The following is a 19,896-nucleotide window of genomic DNA, read 5'->3' as shown; positions in this document are numbered from 1 at the left end:
CAAATATAAAGAAGCCCTTCTACTGCATTTAATCTGTATAGTCATTCACTAAAAAATTACATAGTACATGGTTGATACCAGTGTCTTACTAGGCATATAAACACACAGAGGTTAACAATGTAATCTCTTCTATCAAAGAGTTTTAAACTGCAGATGTTTAAACAAAAAATTAAAATGCATTGTGATTTTAATTTCAATGTATAGAATCCCAGATACAAATCTACTTAGAACTATATTCTCTAGAGCAGCATTTTGACTGACTAACCCCCTGGGAAGTTCATAATTTGAAGTCCTGGAAGAACAGCATGCATCTCAACTAAATACTGAAAATTCTGTACAGTGTGGAATGGTATACGATTGTGATAGTCAGAACATGCAGCTTTTCAAGAGGACTCATACATGGGGAGACCACAAAAATCCAAATTTAAGTTGTTTTGTGATCTGACCAAAACACATTGTATAAAAAGGGCAGCATTTGTCAATGTTTGATTTAAGTAGTTTATATGAAGTATTCAGTGACTTATCAGTGACCCTGGCTGGTTAATATGTGTAAATACATGAACACAGTTTTTTTGAGATCCAGGAAATACATTTATTATTATAGTGTTTCTTAAATCATATTAATTATTCACTGAATGCATTGGAGCAGTCACTTAAAATCTGGGCATGAATTTGTGCTAGGCACAATGACTCATGCCTGTAATCCCAGCACTTTGGGAGACCAAGGTGGGAAGATCACTTGAGCCCAGGAGTTTGAGACCAGCCTGGGCAACAAAGTTAGACCTCATCTCGATAAAAAAATTAAAAAGTTGGCCAAATGTGGTGGCACATGCCTGTAGTCCCAGCTAAATGGGAGGCAGAGGCAGGAAGATCTTTTGAGCCCTGAAAGTCAGGGCTGTAGTGAGCCATGTTCATGTCACTGTACTCCAGCCTGGGTAACAGAGCAAGACCGTGCCTTAAAAAGGAAAATCCCATTTGTAACATTGTTTCTGTTTTAAATTTATATTTATTCTATGTATTTACTGTGTACAACATGATACTTTGATATATACACTATTTCTTAGGTTTGTCAACGTTAATAGTGAGGCCAGAAGTCATTCTCAATGAGCTCTTCCTATCATGGCCACAGATATGTGGCAATTTCTATGAACTATAATATCTTTAAGAGCAATACCCAGTTCAAATCCTACCCAAATCATTCATAAGCACTAGGTGTTATCTTTGCTCATCTTGTGCTGTTAATGGCAAATACTTGGTTTGTGGTTTTAGAAAACAATAGTAGATACCACATTATGTGTTTATTCACATTTTTTTCCATGTTCCTACAGGAAAGATGCAACTGTCCTATTTCCTAATAGTTGGGTTAAGGTCATGGACTGAGTTCTGGGCAATGGAATGTGTGGTGTTGGAAGCATTAGCCAGCTCCAGTCCTGACCACTGAAAATATCACATCTGATCATCTTACCCTGTGGTACCAACTTGGCAGTCAAATTTCTAAATGGCAAGACTATGAGATGGAGAAGAGCAGCCTGATCTACATGCAGTTTAACTGCATGAGAAATAAACTTCATTGTGTTAAGCCTCCAAGTTCTAAAGTTTATTTATAACTGCAACATAACCTAGCTATATTGGATAATATTATAAAACCCAGTAAGTATCATCCTTTTTGCCCTCTTGAATTCAGAAGCAAACAAGTTGAAAATAACATGAGATAGATGGATCTAATGGTCAATCTTGACTTCTGATAGTGCCACTAGATAATTTGCTTTAAGTGTGTAATCCAAGTGATCTTGCTCATACTGGACCCTAAATGGAGTGGCCTTCTCATTGTTATGGACTGAAAGTTTGTGTACCCTCCCAAAGAAAAAAAAAATCACATGTTGAATCCCTAACTCTCAGTGTGATTATATTTGGAAATGGGGCCTCTAAGAAGTAATGTCAATCTCATGTCTAAACGGTAAGACCCTGATCCAATAGGCTTAGTGTCCTTATAAGAAGAGACACTGGAGTGCCCTTCCACTTTCCTTCTCTGTCTCTCTGTCTCTCCCTGTCGCTCTCTGTCTCTGTGTGTGTGTGTGTGTGTGCACCCACCATGGAAAGGCCATATGAGCTCATAGTGAGAAGGCAGTTGTCTGTATAAACCAGGAAGAGAACCTTCACTAGAAACTGAGTCTTCCAGATGGAGACTTTGAACTTCTAGCCTCTAGAGCTGTGAGAGAATAACTTCCTGTTGTTTAAGCCACCCAGCTGATTGCCTTGTGTTAGCACAGCCCAAGAAGACTAATACACTCACTTATTTCAGGCAATGCTGATAAAACCCTAAGTTCCCCACCTGAGCAGCTGTTCCTGTGAGAGCCAGGGCCTGGAGGAGGAGAGCAAGACTGAGCCTTTGGGGAGCAACTTGCCCAGAGAGGTAAAGGGCAGTAGGAGGTGCTGATATATACTTGCCCAGTTTCCCTCCTGAATTTATCAGTGAGATAAATCAGTCTGTTTTCAGAGGAAAGATTAAGGGGTGAGGAAAAAAAAACAAAAAGTATTTATGGGAAATTCCCCCTCAGGGTGCCTAGAAGAGTAAGTAACACCCTCACCCCCATCATGGCAATACGCATTCAAATAGATACCTAGAAATGTGTGTTCTCCGAAAACTTCCCTCTCCTTTGCTCCACACAGTCACCATGTCATTTCTCTCCCTCCACCTGGTTTTTCCTCTCTGATCTGACTGATATGTAGTCCTGCTTTCATCCTGTGGGACAGAGATCACAGCCACAGTCCCTGCCGGTGTGTCACAGTCCATATCCCTCCATGTCCATGCAGTGCTCTGCCCCAGAGCTGCCATGGAAAACGTGATCCTTAGAATGTCTATCAGCCTAAAATATTCAAATTGCTTTCATGAAAAATAACCCAGACTCCTAAGTATGACAATTTTATACACAAGAGTTTATGTACATCTATCCCTAAAAAGGAAGGGTGGAGGTAGTGTAAGAAGGGAAACTGGCAGACTCTTTACACTGGTGAATACTTATAAATATAGATGCAAGAATCTGAAATTGATATAAAATGCAATGGGGAGAGGAGTAAGTGGTTATTAAGCTCTCTGAACACACAAAATCCTAAGAGAATAATCTGAAGTGGGTAGGACACCCTATGATTAGAACCCAGCCTGAACAGAGGGGCTGGGTTGTCCCGAGGGAGCCCAGTGCTCTTCCTGTCCTTCCCCAACTTCCCTTTTCTTGTCCTTTTGCTCAGACCACAGACGTTGTTGTGTTTGCCTTCGCCTGGGCTCTTCTTGCCTGTCACTTCCCTAAGACCACTCTAGTGGGTGACTTTTGCACCCCGAGAGAGAGAGAGATTTCCTCAGAACTCCAGTGTCATGTTCCCACCCCACACAGCTCTGTCATCCCTTCCTCCCAGCAGAAACCTTGCCCTCTGCCTACTTCCCCATTACGGAAACCCCACAAGCCTCCCACAGCCACGTGACTCTTACATGGCCTTTCATTTCCTCCTCAACTCTTATTGAAGTGATTCACTCCTTCTTTCTGGCCTCCAAGCATAGTTCCTGTGGCTAGCGTATATCCTCCACCCTCTGCCCTCTGCAACAGCCAAAAAGGTCCCAGTCTGAGAGCTATGAAAACTCCTAGATTTACCACTTACTAGAAGCACTAATTCCCCACTGTAAAATGACAAAATTGGAGGAACTTGATATTTTCTAGTTCCATTTCAACTTTAATATTATTTGACTTGTCCTGTGCTTCTGTTCATTTCTGTTTATACAGTATTTTCTGTCTCTTCTGGGCTTCTTTGTCTTAATGTTTAACTTTTCTATGATCTCATATTGCTTTCTACTTATCCTTTGTTTGAATCCCTTGGGTCTCCTCTCTATCTTATCACCAATTCTACCTAAACTCCCTACCCATTCATTCTAAGCACCACCCTGGCTAAATTTTGAAGCCTAAAATATTGCTTTTCACTTAGTCCTTAGATTTCTGTGTTTATGGAGGCTCATGCCTGTAATCCCAGCACTTTGGGAGGCTGAGGCAGGTGGATCATGAGGTCAGGAGTTCGAGACTAGCCTTACCAACATGGTGAAACCCCATCTCTACTAAAAATACAAAAATTAGCCAGGTGTGATGGTGTGTGACTGTAATCCCAGCTACTCAGGAGACTGAGGCAGGAGAATCGCTTGAACCCAAGAGGTGGGGGTTGCAGTGAGCCGAGATTGCACCACTGCACTCCAGCCTGGGTTACAGAGTGAGACTCCATCTCAAAAAAAGAGAAGAAACAAACAAACTACAAAACACATAGATATACTGGGTAAGCTATAATTTTAAAAATTATTTATACATGTATGCATTGAACTCACAAGATAAGAAAGTCTGCAAAAAACAAAACAAATAAGAAATTAAGAACTAGATAGGGAAATAGAAGCTAACACTTGAGCTTCCCAAGACATTGACAAGAGTGGGTTCCTGAGGGCTTTGACCACAGTATCCACATAGGTCATAAGATCATGTTGAGACCACCAAATAAAAGTGCAAGAAATCTTCTACTGTATCCTCAATAAAATTGGTCAGGAAAAAAAAAAATCCAACTGAACCAAAAGACAAGAAGGAATCTTGTGGTCGCCTTAAGCTCTGGCTAGATTTCCTTTTTTTTTTTTTCTTACAAAAAGTTTTAATCACAGGTTTGCTCTCACAGGAGTTTAGAGATTAAATGTATTCTATTTGTCTTAAAATGTCTGATCCAAGAAATCAACAATACAAAATAGTTCCAAGCTTGTAGAAGTACTATATCACTCAGAAGCAAACACAAAACTTATTTCTAGTAGTATATAATTTCAAAGCAAACACAAAAATATTCAACAAAATCAACACAGTCTTCTTCATTTTTCTGATATAGGCTGTCTTTGTTTTGCCCAGTTTCAAAATGCACAAATTTCAGTCAGCAAAGTTTTAGTTAAATAACACAAATTCCCCAACAACAAGTTTGAAATGTGTGCCACAAATTTCAGTTGCCACAGTATAGTAACTCTTAGTAACTGCACGAAGTATAAACTACCACTAGGTCTTCAGTCCATGAGTCACCATAGAAGTAACAAATCCACATCATAATCAGTGACCAATTGCTTTACATATGTCAAAGTTTGTCAGTTTGACTATTATTCTGTGCTGTGCAAAACAGCAAAGCATGTAGGTGTGTAGTCCTGTGGTCTCATTGTGTCTCAGTAATAAACCCATACCCATCTGACATGAGTGAATAATAGAAAGAGGAAATTGGGCAACAAAGATGAATGTGCAAAGAAGAAAAGGGACAATGCTAGAAGTGAGATTTGAATTAAATATAAAAGAAGCTATAGAGGAAATAGCTGACCGTGGGAATGCTGAGAATGCTACTGTTTGAGAGACTTTAGAGGTGAAGCTAGAGGAACCTGGAGGAGGGAAGTGATTGTTGTGAAAAGAATGAAGGTGTCTTAAATGAAGTGACACTGGCAGAAAACTTCCCATTAAAGGAACTCTCAGAGATATTCCCCAAGAGGGAAAGCACAAAGTATAAAATATCAGAAGCTGATCCAAACATTAAAAGGAGTATGAAAATTCACCAAGGAATACAAAGATACTCTGTATCTTTAAGTAACAGAAGATGAAGGCAAACATTGCTCAAAACATTCTTGGTAAGTTAATACAAGGGAAAAAGACTTTAATTCCAAATGTTTTAATGTTTTAAAGTATAGTGTGCTAAGTAAATTATATTGTACTGTTTTTCACTTCCCTATATATTTATAACCAATAGTAAGTGGGTTTTGAATATTTTGACAAAGATGTTTCAAGTCACAGGGTGATCATAATTCTCTCTCTTGATTATTGAGATCCTTTCACATGATTTTAGCTTGCATGATCAATTTTTACAGTCCTGCATTAACATGCAAAGCAAAGACTGACTTTATATTACAGGATTTGGAGTCAAAATTTTTAAAAACTGCAGGTTGTTAAGTATCAGTGATATCTTCTTATGAATCTTATCACCTCATTTTTCATTTAAAAATGTCATAATCCTTTGAAGTTTGCAAGGAATTATTGGGATTTTAATATCATTCTGTTTATGGTATTAATTTTACTTACATATCATGCCAAACCAGTATTAAACACATCAATTTCAAAGTATTTTTGGAAGTACTTATACTTTTGGCTTGTTTTCTAGAATCCAGGATTTTATTAATATCTTCAAAATTTCTAAAGAAGTATTGCAGACCATCACTAATTGAATCCCTAGGAATACAATGGTGTCAGCTCAACTTCCCCATCATATAATCAACCATGGTTATAATTTTATATTAATTTCTATTAGCAATGCAATCCAATGTTTTGTCAAGACTGAAAGATAATACTACTCTTGTATGATATTTTTAAACTATTTAGAGATAAATTTTACTATATCTTTTACTACAAAAGTTTTAAAAAGACTGTGAATGAGCCTATCTAGATTCCTCCTCTCTGGGAAGGGCATCTCTGAAAGAAAGGCAGCAGCCCCAGTCAGGGGCTTATAAGTAAAACTCCCATCTCCCTGGGACAGAGTACCTGGGGAAATGGCAGCTGTGGGCACAACTTCAGCAGACTTAAATGTTCCTGCCTGCCAGCTCTGAAGAGAGCACCAGATCTCCCAGCACAGTGCTCAAGCTCTGCTAAGGGACAGGCTGCCTTCTCAAGTGGGTCCCTGACCACCATGCCTCCTGCCTAGGAGACACCTCCCAGCAGGGGTCGACAGACACTTCATACAGCAGAGCTCCTGCTGGCATCTGGCAGGTGCCCCTCTGTGACAAAGCTTCCAGAGGAAGTAACAGGCAGCAATCTTTGCTGTTCTGCAGCCTCCGCTGGTGACACCCAGGCAAACAGGGTCTGGAGTGGACCTCCAGCAAACTCCAACAGACTTGCAGCAGAGGGGCCTAACTGTTAGAAGGAAAACTAACAAACAGAAAGGAAAAAGCATCAACATCAACAAAAAGTATGTCCACACAAAAACCCCATCCGAAGGTCACCAAAACGAAAGACCAAAGGTAGATAAATCTACGAAGATAAGGAAAAACAAGAACAAAAAGGCTGAAAATTCTAAAAAAGAGTATGCCTCTTCTCCTCTGAAGGAACACAACTCCTTGCCAGCAAGGAAACAAAACTGGATGGAGAATGAGTTTAACAATTTGACAAAAGTAGGCTTCAGAAAGTGGGTAATAGCAAACTCCTCCAAGCTAAAAAAGCATATTCTAACCCAAAGCAAGGAAGCTAAGAGCCTTGAAAAAAGGTTACAGGAATTGCTAACTAAAATAACCAGTTTAGAGAAGAACATAAATGGCATGATGGAGCTGAAAAACACTGCAAGAGAACCTTGTGAAGCATACACAAGTATCAATAGCTGAATCGATCAAGTGAAAGAAAGGATATCAGAGATTGAAGATCAACTTAATGAAATAAATCGTTAAGAAAAGATTGAGAAAAAAGAATGAAAAGGAACTAACAAAGCCTACAAGAAATGTTGGTCTATGTGAAAAGACCAAACCTACATTTGATTGGTGTATTTGAAAGTGATGGGGAAAATGAAACCAAGTTTGAAAACACTCTTCAGTATATTATCCAGGAGAACTTCCCCAGCCTAGCAAGACTGGCCAACATTCAAATTCGGGAAATACAGAGAACACCACAAAGATGATGATCATTAAAAAGTCAGGAAACAACAGATGCCGGAGAGGATGTGGAGAAATAAGAATGCTTTTACACTGTTGGTGGGAGTGTAAATTAGTTCAACCATTGTGGAAGACAGTGTGGTGATTCCTCAAGGATCTAGAACTAGAAATACCATTTGATCCTGCAATCTCATTGTTGGATATATACCCAAAGGATTATAAATCATTCTACTGTAAAGACACATGCACATGTATGTTTATTGTGGCACTAATCACAATAACAAAGACTTGGAACCAACCCAAATGCCCATCAATGATAGACTGGATCAAGAAAATGTGGCACATATACACCATGGAATATTATGCAGCCATAAAAAAGGATGATTTCATGTCCTTTGCAGGGACATGGATGAAGCTGGAAACCATCATTCTCAGCAAACTAACACAGGAACAGAAAACCAAACATACATGTTCTCACTCATAAGTGGGAGTTGAACAATGAGAACACATTGACACAGGGCAGGGAACATCACACACTGGGGCCTGTCAGAGGATGAGGGGTTAAGGCAGGGATAGCATTAGGAGAAATACCTAATCTGGATGATGGGTTAGTGGGTGCAGCAAACCACCATGGCACGTGTATATCTATTTAACAAACCTGCACATTCTGCACAAGTATTCGAGAGCTTAAAATATAATTAAAAAAAGAAAAAAGAAAGTACTTAATGTTTACAGCAGGCGAATAAAGACCATATGAAGGTCTTGGGGCTTTTTGCTTAATTTTTCCTGCCTTTTAACATACTGCAAACATGTCATTTGTTTAGGAGAGAAAAAAAAGACTGTTAATGGATCAAAGAATATAGAATGACATTGAATTTTTTCACACACTTTTAGATGTTGCCAATTATATTTACCATGCATGGTGGCATTGTCATATCCTGAATCTTCAAATTATTTTGTTTATATTTAACTTTTGTAACTTGTCTATTAATGTTGTATATAACTTTTGTAACTTGTCTATTAATGTTGTATATAATTTTTCTAGTAATTCCATACACTGGGAAATTTATTCAACACACAAAAAGTGTTTTAAATGGAATTATATGCACTTGGAAATACATAAATTAATAATAATAATCTGCTATACCTAGCTTATATTTGAGGATATGTCGTCAAACCTTAGTGGACAATATATAGAATTTCTTACTTTAATTAAATTTACTTGATTCATCATATCTACCATAATCCTAATTGTTTAGTTTTGTATTTTATACCCTAAGTAATATGCTATATTATTTGATGGTAATATTAGTCATCTATACAAATGTTCCACCATAATTTGCTGTGATATTTGCAAGTGAAGACAATAGTAATACATTTTCTTGGATGATGCTCTGGATTCCTGACTTTGTCCTGCCAAAAACTGAACCACTCATATCACATGTCATTCACATATGTCAATAATTTCATATAGTTCATTTACTTTAAAAATGTAGAAATAGGGGTGGTTCCAAGATGGCCAAATAGGAACAGCTCCAGTCTATAGCTCCCAGCATGAGTGACGCAGAAAATGGGTGATTTCTGCATTTCCAACTGAGATACTGGGTTCATCTCACCGGAGATTGTCGGACAGTGGGTGCAGGACACTGGGTGCAGTGCACCGAGTGTGAGCTGAAGCAGAGCGAGGCATTGCCTCACCTGGGAAGTGCAAGGGGTCAGGGAATTCCCTTTCCTAGCCAAGGGAAGGGGGGACAAGCAGCACCTGGAAAATCGGGTCACTCCCACCCTAATACTGCACTTTTCCAATGGTCTTAGCAAATGGCACACAAGGAGATTATATCCCGCACCTGGCTCGGAGGGTCCTAAGCCCACGGAGCCTCACTCATTGCTAGCACAGCAGTCTGAGATCTAACCGCAATGCAGCAGTGAGGCTGGGGGAGAGGCACCCCCCATTGCTGAGGCTTGAGTAGGTAAACAAAGTGGCCAGGAAGCTCAAACTGGGTGGAGCCCACCATAGCTCAAGGAGGCCTGCCTGCCTCTGTAGACTCCACCTCTTGGGGCAGGGCATAGCTGAACAAAAGGCAGCAGAATCCTCTGCAGACTTAAATGTCCCTGTCTGACAGCTTGGAAGAGAGTAGTGGTTCTCCCAGCATGCAGCTTCAGATCTGAGAAGGGAAAGACTGCCTCCTCAAGTGGGTCCCTGACCCCCAAGTAGCCTAACTGGGAGGCTTCCCAGTAGGGGCAGACTGACACCTCAGACAGCCGGGTACCCCTCTGAGACAAAACTTCCAGAGGAATGATCAGGCAGTAACATTTGCTGTTCACCAATATTCGCCGTTCTACAGCCTCCACTGCTGACACGGGCAAACAGGGTCTGGAGTGGACCTCCAGCAAACTACAACAGACCTGCTGCTGAGGGTCCTGACTGTTAGAAGGAAAACTAACAAATAGAAAGGACATCCTCACCAAAACCCCATCTGTACGTCACCATCATCAAAGACCAAAGGTAGATAAACCACAAAGATGGGGAAAAAACAGAGCAGAAAAACTGAAAATTCTAAAAATCAGAGCACCTCTCCTCCTCCAAAGGAATGCAGCACCTCACCAGCAATGGAGCAAAGATGGATGGAGAATGACTTTGATGAATTGAGAGAAGAAGGCTACAGATGATCAAATTTCTCGGAGCTAAAGAGGGAAGTTCGAACCCATGGCAAAGAAGTTGAAAATCTTGAAAAGAAATTAGACAATGGCTAACTAGAATAACCAATGCAGAGAAGTCCTTAAAGGACCTGATGGAGCTGAAAACCATGGCACGAGAACTATGTGATGAATGCACAAGCTTCAGTAGCCAATTTGATCAACTGGAAGAAAGGGTATCAGTGATGGAAGATCAAATGAATGAAATGAAGTGAGAAGGGAAGTTTAGAGAAAAAAGAATAAAAAGAAACAAACAAAGCCTCCAAGAAATATGGGACTATGTGAAAAGACCAAATCTACATCTGATTGGTGTACCTGAAAGTGACAGGGAGAATGCAACTAAGTTGCAAAACACTCTGCAGGATATTATCCAGGAGAACTTCCCCAACCTAGAAAGGCAGGCCAACATTCAAATTCAGGAAATACAGAGAACACCACAAAGATACTCCTCGAGAAGAGCAACTCCAAGACACATAATTGTCAGATTCACCAAAGTTGAAATGAAGGAAAAAATGTTAAGGGCAGCCAGAGAGAAAGGTCGGGTTACCCTCAAAGGGAAGCCCATCAGACTAACAGCTGATCTCTCGGCAGAAATTCTACAAGCCAAAAGAGAGTGGGGACCAATATTCAACATTCTTAAAGAAAAGAATTTTCAACCCAGAATTTCATATCCAGCCAAAATAAGCTTCATAAGTGAAGGAGAAATAAAATCCTTTACAGACAAGCAAATGCTGAGAGATTTTGTCAGCACCAGGCCTGCCCTACAAGAGCTCCTGAAGGAAGCACTAAACATGGAAAGGAACAACTGGTACCAGCCACTGCAAAAACATGCCAAATTGTAAAGACCATCAATGCTAGGAAGAAACTGCATCAACTAATGAGCAAAATAACCAGCTAACATCAAAATGACAGGATCAAATTCACACATAACAATATTAATCTTAAATGTAAATGGGCTAAATGCTCCAATTAAAAGACACAGACTGACAAATTGGATAAAGTGTCAAGACCCATTAGTGTGCTGTATTCAGGAAACCCATCTCACATGCAGAGACACACATAGGCTCAAAATAAAGGGATGGAGGAAGATCTACCACACAAATGGAAAAGAAAACAAGGCAGGGGTTGCAATCCTAGTCTCTGATAAAACAGACTTTAAACCAACAAGATCAAAAGAAAAAGAAGGCCATTACATAATGGTAAAGGGATCAATTTAACAAGGAACACTTTTACACTGCTGGTGGGACTGTAAACTGGTTCAACCATTGTGGAAGACAGTGTGGCGATTCCTCACGGATCTAGAACTAGAAATACCATTTGACCCAGCCATCCCATTACTGGGTATATACCCAGAGGATTATAAATCATGCTGCTATAAAGACACATGCACACGTATGTTTATTGTGGCACTATTCACAATAGCAAAGACCTGGAACCAACCCAAATGTCCAACAATGATAGACTGGATTAAGAAAATGTGGCACATATACAACATGGAATACTATGCAGCCATAAAAAATGATGAGGTCATGTCCTTTGTAGCGACATGGATGAAGCTGGAAACCATCATTCTCAGCAAACTATCGCAAGGACAAAAAACCAAACACTGCATGTTCTCACAGGTGGGAATTGAACAATGAGGACACATGGACACAGGAAGAGGGACATCACACACCGGGGCCTGTTGGGGGGTAGGGGGAGGGGGGAGGGATAGCATTAGGAGATATACCTAATGTAAATGACGAGTTAATGGGTGCAGCACACCAACATGGCACATGTATACATATATAACAAACCTGCATGCTGTGCACATGTACCCTAGAACTTAAAGTATAATAATAAAAAAATAAATAAATTAAAATTAAAATTTAAAAAATGTAGAAATAATTTGGGACCCAGGATGCTGTTATCTTGCTCTATATTTATTTAAGGGCATTGGATCAAAATTGCTTTATTAATTTCAGAGATTAAGATAATTTGGAACTGTGTTGTAATCCCTGCACAGGTTATTCTCCTTCTGTTTTATACTTACTGCTGGAATTAACCCCTTAAGTTCCCAATTTAAAATGTGGGCTTCAATTATATCTTTGAAGATTTACAAGTCTGTTAAAAGCTTAGCTTTTCAGTCTCATTAGTGCCTCTCATGGAATCAGTAGATGCCTCTGGGGAGAAAAGCAGCCCCAAATACAGGGTTCATCACTATGAGTTTCTCTCTTCTCCCAGATATTAACCCAATAATCCATCTCCCTTTTGTGGGTTCTTTGATGCCTTGAGGCAGGTTTTATTTTATATTTTTATTGTTTTTTCTAGACATCCTTGATAAGAGAGTTGGTCCAAATTATGTAGTATAACATTTCTAGAAACAGAAGTACTTCTGTTTCCCATCATTCTGAGCAAACTATCGCAAGGACAGAAAACCAAACACCGCATGTTCTCACTCATAGGTGGGAATTGAACAATGAGAACACTTGGACATGGGGCGGGGAACATCACACACTGGGGCCTGTTGTGGGGTGGGTGGATGGGGGAAGGATAGCATTAACAGAAATACCTAATGTAAATGATGAGTTAATGGGTGCAGCAAACCAACATGGCACGTGTATACATACATAACAAACCTGCATGTTGTGCACATGTACCCTAGAACTTAAAGTATAATTTAAAAAAAAGAAGTCTTTCTATTTCCTTTTTAGTTATTTATTAATAGAATTTACCATCCTTATATGTGTGAAGCCACAACTTGTGTCTCAAAGATCTAAGCAATAACAGGTGTAGGCAAATTGAACCTATGTAGTGGGAGATGATTCCTGGGCCTCCGTACAAGCCACATAAAGTCAAGGTGAGTTCATTCCTGGGACTCCTTCTTGACCCTGAAACCAGTTTAAAATAATGTAGGAGACAAACCAAATTTGAGGTATCTCATCTAGACTGCAGACCTTTCAGTCTGGACTGAAAATCAAGGCAAAAACTGGCAATAATTATTTTGCTGCCTGGTGTTTTAGAAGATCCGATGTCAGCTCGGCACGGTGGCTCACACCTGTAATCCCAGCACTTTGGGAGGGTGAGGAGGGCAGATCACAAGGTCAGGATATCAAGACCATCGTGATCAACGTGGTGAAACTCCGTCTCTACAAAATACAAAAAATTAGCCAGGCATGATGGTGCTTGCCTGTAGTCCCAGCTACTCGAGATGCTGAGGCAGGGGAATCGCTTGAACCCGGGAGGCGGAGATTGCAGTGAGCCGAGGTTGCACCACTGCATTCCAGCCTGGGCGACAGAGAGAGACTCCATCAAAAAAAAAAAAGAAAGAAGAAGGAGAAGGAGAAGGAGAAGAAGAAGAAGAACTGATATCTAAGAGGTCTCTGGTTCCATTAATAGAATTTTTGCTTTAGCCATCATGCTGAGGCAGCCTAGTTAAGGTTACTGCTTGTAGAATCCCATGCATATTTCCTAAGATTTGCTCTGGCCTTGGCCTGTGTCTACAATATTGACACCGTTTATGAGGCATTTATTTAAGGTCCAGCAAGTAAATCCATACTTCCATAAGGACATACCCTTGCTCTAGTGGGTGCTGTGGTCAGCCAGCAATACAGCCTCTTCAGGAAGAAGATGCTTATTCCTCAGCTTCAGGGAGTGTTGGCTGCTGACTACTCACAGATGTGTCCTTCTAAAAACTGCCTTATGTAGAAGGGAGCCACTTTGCCTAAGGGGACATTCTTTCCCTAGGGAAAGCCCACATCGAATATAGAAGTACAAAGGTATGAGCCCATTACTTCATTTCAGAAAACCTCTGAAGGGCCATCTTAGCTCCAGAACTCTCTATGAGGTTGTTAGATCCTCTGTTACAACTGCATCACAGTTCCTTGTCTCACTGCTCAGTCCTGCTTCCCTCTTTCTTTTGGTAGTGCTGTTTCATAGAACACTCCCCAGTAAGCATTCTGCAGGCCGAGGCTCATCTGAGTGTTTCCTCGGCAACTGACCTGAGACACTCATCTACATAGAGCCACTTAACACTCATCTTAAGCAAACCCATCTTAAACAGCCACAACTTACCACAATAAAAACCTCAAATGGCCACTAGAAACAAAGTCCTACAGCTGCCTGTTCAGACCACAGTGGTAAGGAGGCAGTCGCACAGCATATAAAAGCCAGTCGTATTCAACGACATAGGCCACTGCACACCAACAAGGTCAAAGACTCATGGCCACAGCCTGTTTTCTAAAGGTTGGCTCCACCAAAAGATTCCTCCCAAATTATTTTATTCTCCATTTCCATAATACTTTATTCCCTATAGTCGTCTTCTAACAAAGGTCCTAGTAGCTTTGTTTACGCTCTCCTGAATTGAACTTTTTCTATTAAAACTGTAGATATCAACCTTTCATCATACTCAAAATCAGAAAAATGTGTGCTAAAAATTTATACCAACTTTTATTATAACTTTCTTTTCAATAATCAGCATCCTTTTATTTGCTGATGTTGTTACAGAAACCAATTACATTAGCCACAAAAAAAGTGTTTTCCTGAGTTGAAGAGCAAGGCAATTACTCTCCAAAATGTTAAGTAAAACAGTGTACAACATCGGTATTAAAATGTTAAATTTTACATTGTTTTTACCACTTTGATTTTCTGAACAATTTTGTTGAACAAAATAAGATAAAAGATTACATGTTTATTTTATCTTCAGGAATGTAAAGGTCTAATTATTCAAACAGTTTTTTATGATAAAACTGAACTCTGAAGGTGTCTACAGAGTTGGCATTTTTTTCTCTCTTCCTCTCTTTAAATCAGAAAGACAAAACTCTATTCAGTGTTTCTGGCAAAGTAGAAAGGGTGAAAACATAAAAAATAGAAACTCCTTGGCTTTTGTTGTAAGTTATAGCTCTTTACTAGATTCAGTATAGATGAAGTTTCTTTCTCTACTTGGGATTTACCTAAGTGAAATGGGTTATGAAATATTTCACTCTATCATTTTCCCAGAAGTTCCCTCTGATTTCTAACAAGTTTGTTTTCATATAAATTTTGGAACGGCTAGTTGCATTTTCTCCCTTGCTTTAGAAAATATAAAGACAAAAGTGAAAGTGAACTTAAATACAAATAACTTGGGTGCTATTATCAAAATTTGGTTTTGTCTTAGCAAAAATTAAGTAACCCACACAGGTCATCATAATGAGAAAAATAAAGAGCCTCAAATAAGCATTTCATAGACCAATGCTATTGATGATTAATTGATACTCAGCTGACATCCTGAATTAGTTAAATTTGGTTGTGAGTGACAGAAAATTCAAACTGACAGTATCTTTTAAAAGATGGAGCCAGGCACAGTAGCTCATGCCTGTAATCTCAGCACTTTGGGAGGCCGAAGTGGGTGGATTACTTGAGCTCACGAGTTGGAGACCAGCCTGGCCAATATGAGGAAACCCCATCTCCACTAAAAATACAAAAATTAGCTGGGCATGGTGGCATGTGCCTGTAGTCCCAGCTACTCAGGAGGCTGAGGCAGGAGACTTGCTTGAACCCGGGAGGTGGAGGTTGCAGTGAGCCGAGATCACGCTATTGCACTCCAGCCTGGGCTACAGAGCAAGACTCCATCTCAAAATAATTAAATAAATAAATAAAAATGCAACCACATTTCTCTCTCTTATAAAAAGACAGGAGTAGGCAATGCAGGGTTGATGTGGCATTCCATGGTGTCAGGAACTCAGTTTCCAATTTCCTTCTTTTGCGGGGGAGAGTTTTTATTTTTTTGTTTTGTTTTGGTCTTTACCACAGTTAGTCCTCATTCCAGTGGTCTTCCCATACCCTGAGGTGACTGCCAGAGTTCTTTCCATCAAATCCACCTTTCATCCAGCCAATAAGAGGAAGGGAAGAAGTGAGCACATCGACTTCCCATGATTTCAGAGCTGCTTTCTGCAGAAGTTATACATCACATTTGGCAGGTTGTAATCACATGACCACAATCAGCTCAAAGGGTGCCAAGAAACATAGCTTTTATTCTGCCCAGCTAATAATCAGCAGGTTTCAGTTATTCTAGAGGAAGTGACAAACATATACTGGGAGAAAACCAGTGTTCTCTGCCATATAGCCCATTTGGCAAGTCATTTATTTATTTAGCTATGCAGGTGTATAGTTAATAACCAGTTTTACTTGAATGGGCAATCTGGAAATAGCTCAAGGACCCATGGCTGCTTTTCTTACTTCATACTCATAGTATTCTTTTTTCTCACTTTAAACTCATATTAAGATTCATATCTGTTTCAAATAGTTTCCTGTCTAAAGCCATATCTGGCATTCTCTATGAAGTACAGTTGGTTGTGCATTGGGATGAGGGGGGTTGTAGTTATGTCAACTAGTGCCTTTGTATTTGGAAAAAAAAAACAAAATTATATTACAAGAAGAATCTTGGTGCTCTCTATGGGTGCTATCAGCCTTCCGGGAGCAAGCCTCAGATTCAAGCAGAAGTCCTTGAGTAGATATTTGCAGAAGCCACAAGAAATTTCCAATTCCAATTCCACTTGTAAGTCAACCTATTGTCAAAGTTACTGTTCTGTATTTAACAGATGATAGAAAATAGTTTTACATCCGGTATATGTTAGAATACATAATCTAAATGTTGCTGCTGCTTCAAAAATAATTTAAATCAGTTCAATATAAACAGTATCTTTGAAAGATGTGGAATCTATTCATTTCTACAGATAACAAAATCTACCCTTGGGTTTGCTAGAACATCAGAAAGCTGCATGTCTGGACTAGATCCTGTTATGCTGTGTAGAATTACTTTTCCCAGTCTTTGTCATAGGCTGACATAATGATCTTACTTTAAGAGACTTAATCACAAAAAGACCTATGGACCTCATAAAATTTACTGAAAGGACTTTCCTGAGAACATTGTTCACTGCGTTAAGCAGTTTCTCCTCTGATGGAAGAAATGTCCTTGTGGCCTCAGGACCAGGAATAGCTATAATTCTCCTAAACAGCCCATTGTCTATCTTCTAGACACTGCAAGTATGTAACTGATCCTGTCTTGATTATCATGGACCTCCAACAATGTGTGACCCACATCTAACCAGAGTATAGGGTATCGTGGCACTTCTTTAAAAATTTACACTGTTCTTGGCTTCATCTTATTTTATTGGCCATATATTACCCTGGATTCTATTCCTGGATTGTTATCAATATATTTTTAATATTTTAGAGCCAAAAAGTTATTGTGAATTTAAGGATAGGTTTCTGAGCTGCTGCGTGATTTGGGGGAAGCCATAAGACAAAATTTTTAATAACAAGCATATGCAGAAATGGCATTTTAATCTCTAATGTCATCTACTGGTAGAATACAAAAATTTGTTTTTTGTTTGTTTTCCATTAGTTCTTGGGATGCAGGTGGTTTTTTGTTACATGGATAAGTTATTTAGTGGTGATTTCTGAGATTTTAGTGCACCCGTCACACAGCAGTGTACACGGTATCCAATATGTAGTCTTTTATCCCTCACCCCCTCCCAATCTCCCCCCTGCTAAGTATCCAAAGTCCATTATATCACTCTTAATGCCTTTGTGTCCTCATAGTTTAGCTCCCACTTATAAGTGAGACATACAATATTTGATTTTTCATTCCTGAATCACTTCATTTAGAAAAATGGCCTCCAGCTCCATCCAAGTTGCTGCAAAAGACATTATTTTGTTCTGTTTTATGGCTTAGTAGTATTCCATGGTAAATATCTACCACATTTTCTTTATCCACTCATTGGTCAATGGGCACTTAGGTTGGTTCCATATCTTTGCAATTGTGAATTGCGCTGCTATAAACATGCATGTGCATGTGTCTTTTTCATATAATGGTCTCATTTCCTTTGGGTAGATACCCAGTAGTGGGATTGCTGGATCGAATGGTAGTTCTACTTTGAGTTCTTTAAGGAATCTCCATACTGTTTTCCATAGTGGTTGTACTAATTTACATCCCCAACCACAGTGTATAAGTGTTCCCTTCTTACCACATCCAGGCCAACATCTTTTGTTTTTTTACTTTTTAATTATGGCCATACTTGTAGGAGTAAGGTGGTATCTCTTTGTGGTTTTAATTTTCATTTCCCTGATGATTAGTGATGTTCAGCATTTTTTTAATGTTTGTTAGCTGTTTGTATATCTTCTTTTGAGAATTGTCTATTCACATTCTTTGCCCATTTTTTGGTGGAATTTTTGTCATTTTCTTGCTCATTTATTTGAGTCCCATGTAGATTCTGGATACTAGTCCTGTGTCAGATGCATAGTCTATGAGTATTTTCTCCCACTCAGTGGGTTGTCTGTGTACTCCACTGATTATTTCTTTTTCTGTGCAGAAGCTTTTTAGTTTAATTAGGTTCCATATATTTATTTTTGTTATTGTTGCATTTGCTTTTGGGGCCTTAGTCATAAATTATTTTCCTGAGCCAATGTGCAGAAGAGTTTTTCTGATGTTATCTTACAGAGTTTTCATGGTTTGGGATATTATATTTAAGTCCTTGATCCATCTTCAGTTCATTTTTGCATAAGCTGAGAGATGGGAATCCAGTTCCATTCTTCTACATGTGGCTTGTCAGTTATCCAAGCACCTTTTCTTCAATAGGGTGTCATTTCTCCTACTTTATGTTTCTGTATGCTTTGTCAAAGATCAGTTGGTTGTTAAATATATGGCTTTATTTCTGGGTTTTCTATGCTCTCCATTGGTCTGCGTGTCTATTTTTATGCCAGTACCATGCTGTTTTGGTAAATATAGCCTTGTAGTGTACTTTAAAGTTGAATGAAGTGATGCCTCCAGATTTGTTCTTTTGCATAGTATTGTTTTGGCTATGTGGGCTCTTTTTTGGATCCATATGGATTTTAGGATTCTTTTTTCTAGTTCTGTGAAAAATTATAAAGATATTTTGATGGGAATTGCATTGAATCTGTAGATTGCTTTGGGCAGCAAGGTCATTTTCACAATATTAATTCTACCCATCCCCAAGCATGGGATGTGTTACCATTTGTTTGTGTCATCTATGATTTCTTTCAGCAGTGTTTTGTAGTTTTTCTTGTAGAGATCTTTCAAGATCCTTTATTAAGAATGTTCCTAAGTATTTTATTTTATTTTTTGCAGCTGTTGTGAAAGGGATTGAGTTTTTTTATTTGATTCTCGGCTTGGTCACTGTTGGTGAATAGCAGTGCTACTGATTTGTGTACATTGGTTTTGTATCCTGAGACTTTACTGAATTTGTTTGTCAGATCTAGGAGCTTTTTGGATGCGTATTTAGGTTTTTCTAAGTATGTGATCAACTCGTGGGCGAACAGTGACAGTTTGATCTCTTTTCCAATTTGGATGTCCTTTATTTGTTCTCTTGTCTGATTGCTCTGGCTAGGACTTTCAGTACTATATTGAATAGAAGTGGTGAAAGTGGGCATCCTTGTCTTGTTCCACTTATCAAGGGGAATGCTTTCAAATTTTCCCCATTCAGTATGATGTTGGCGGTGGGTTTGTCATATATGGCTCTTATTACTTTGAGGTAAGTCCTTTCTATGCCTAT

The 19,896-nt window shown here is 39.2% G+C and overlaps 1 protein-coding gene across 1 annotated transcript in view, besides 2 other annotated features; it reads left to right on the top strand.

Annotated features, from left to right (window-relative positions):
• The window catches only part of CD1B (CD1b molecule), a 46,127-nt gene extending 42,164 nt beyond the window's left edge, over nt 1–3,963 (top strand). Inside the window, exon 4 of the mRNA XM_017002785.3 lies at nt 1,329–3,963. Within this exon, the coding sequence (XP_016858274.1) occupies nt 1,329–1,441 (113 nt within the window). The 3' untranslated portion in view covers nt 1,442–3,963. The remainder of the gene's footprint in view (nt 1–1,328) is intronic.
• Nucleotides 2,395–2,524: an enhancer, noted in NCBI's record as "active region_1899". NCBI's record gives its function as "activates an Ori minimal core promoter by ATAC-STARR-seq in GM12878 lymphoblastoid cells {active_cell/tissue: GM12878}" and the evidence as "EXISTENCE:reporter gene assay evidence [ECO:0000049][PMID:35858748]".
• Nucleotides 5,171–5,220: an enhancer, noted in NCBI's record as "active region_1898". NCBI's record gives its function as "activates an Ori minimal core promoter by ATAC-STARR-seq in GM12878 lymphoblastoid cells {active_cell/tissue: GM12878}" and the evidence as "EXISTENCE:reporter gene assay evidence [ECO:0000049][PMID:35858748]".

The sequence above is a fragment of the Homo sapiens genome, chromosome 1 (genome assembly GCF_000001405.40).
Source record: "Homo sapiens chromosome 1, GRCh38.p14 Primary Assembly".
Taxonomy (NCBI): domain Eukaryota; kingdom Metazoa; phylum Chordata; class Mammalia; order Primates; family Hominidae; genus Homo; species Homo sapiens.
Note: the sequence above shows the minus strand (reverse complement) of the source record. Positions and strands in the feature narration are given on the sequence as shown.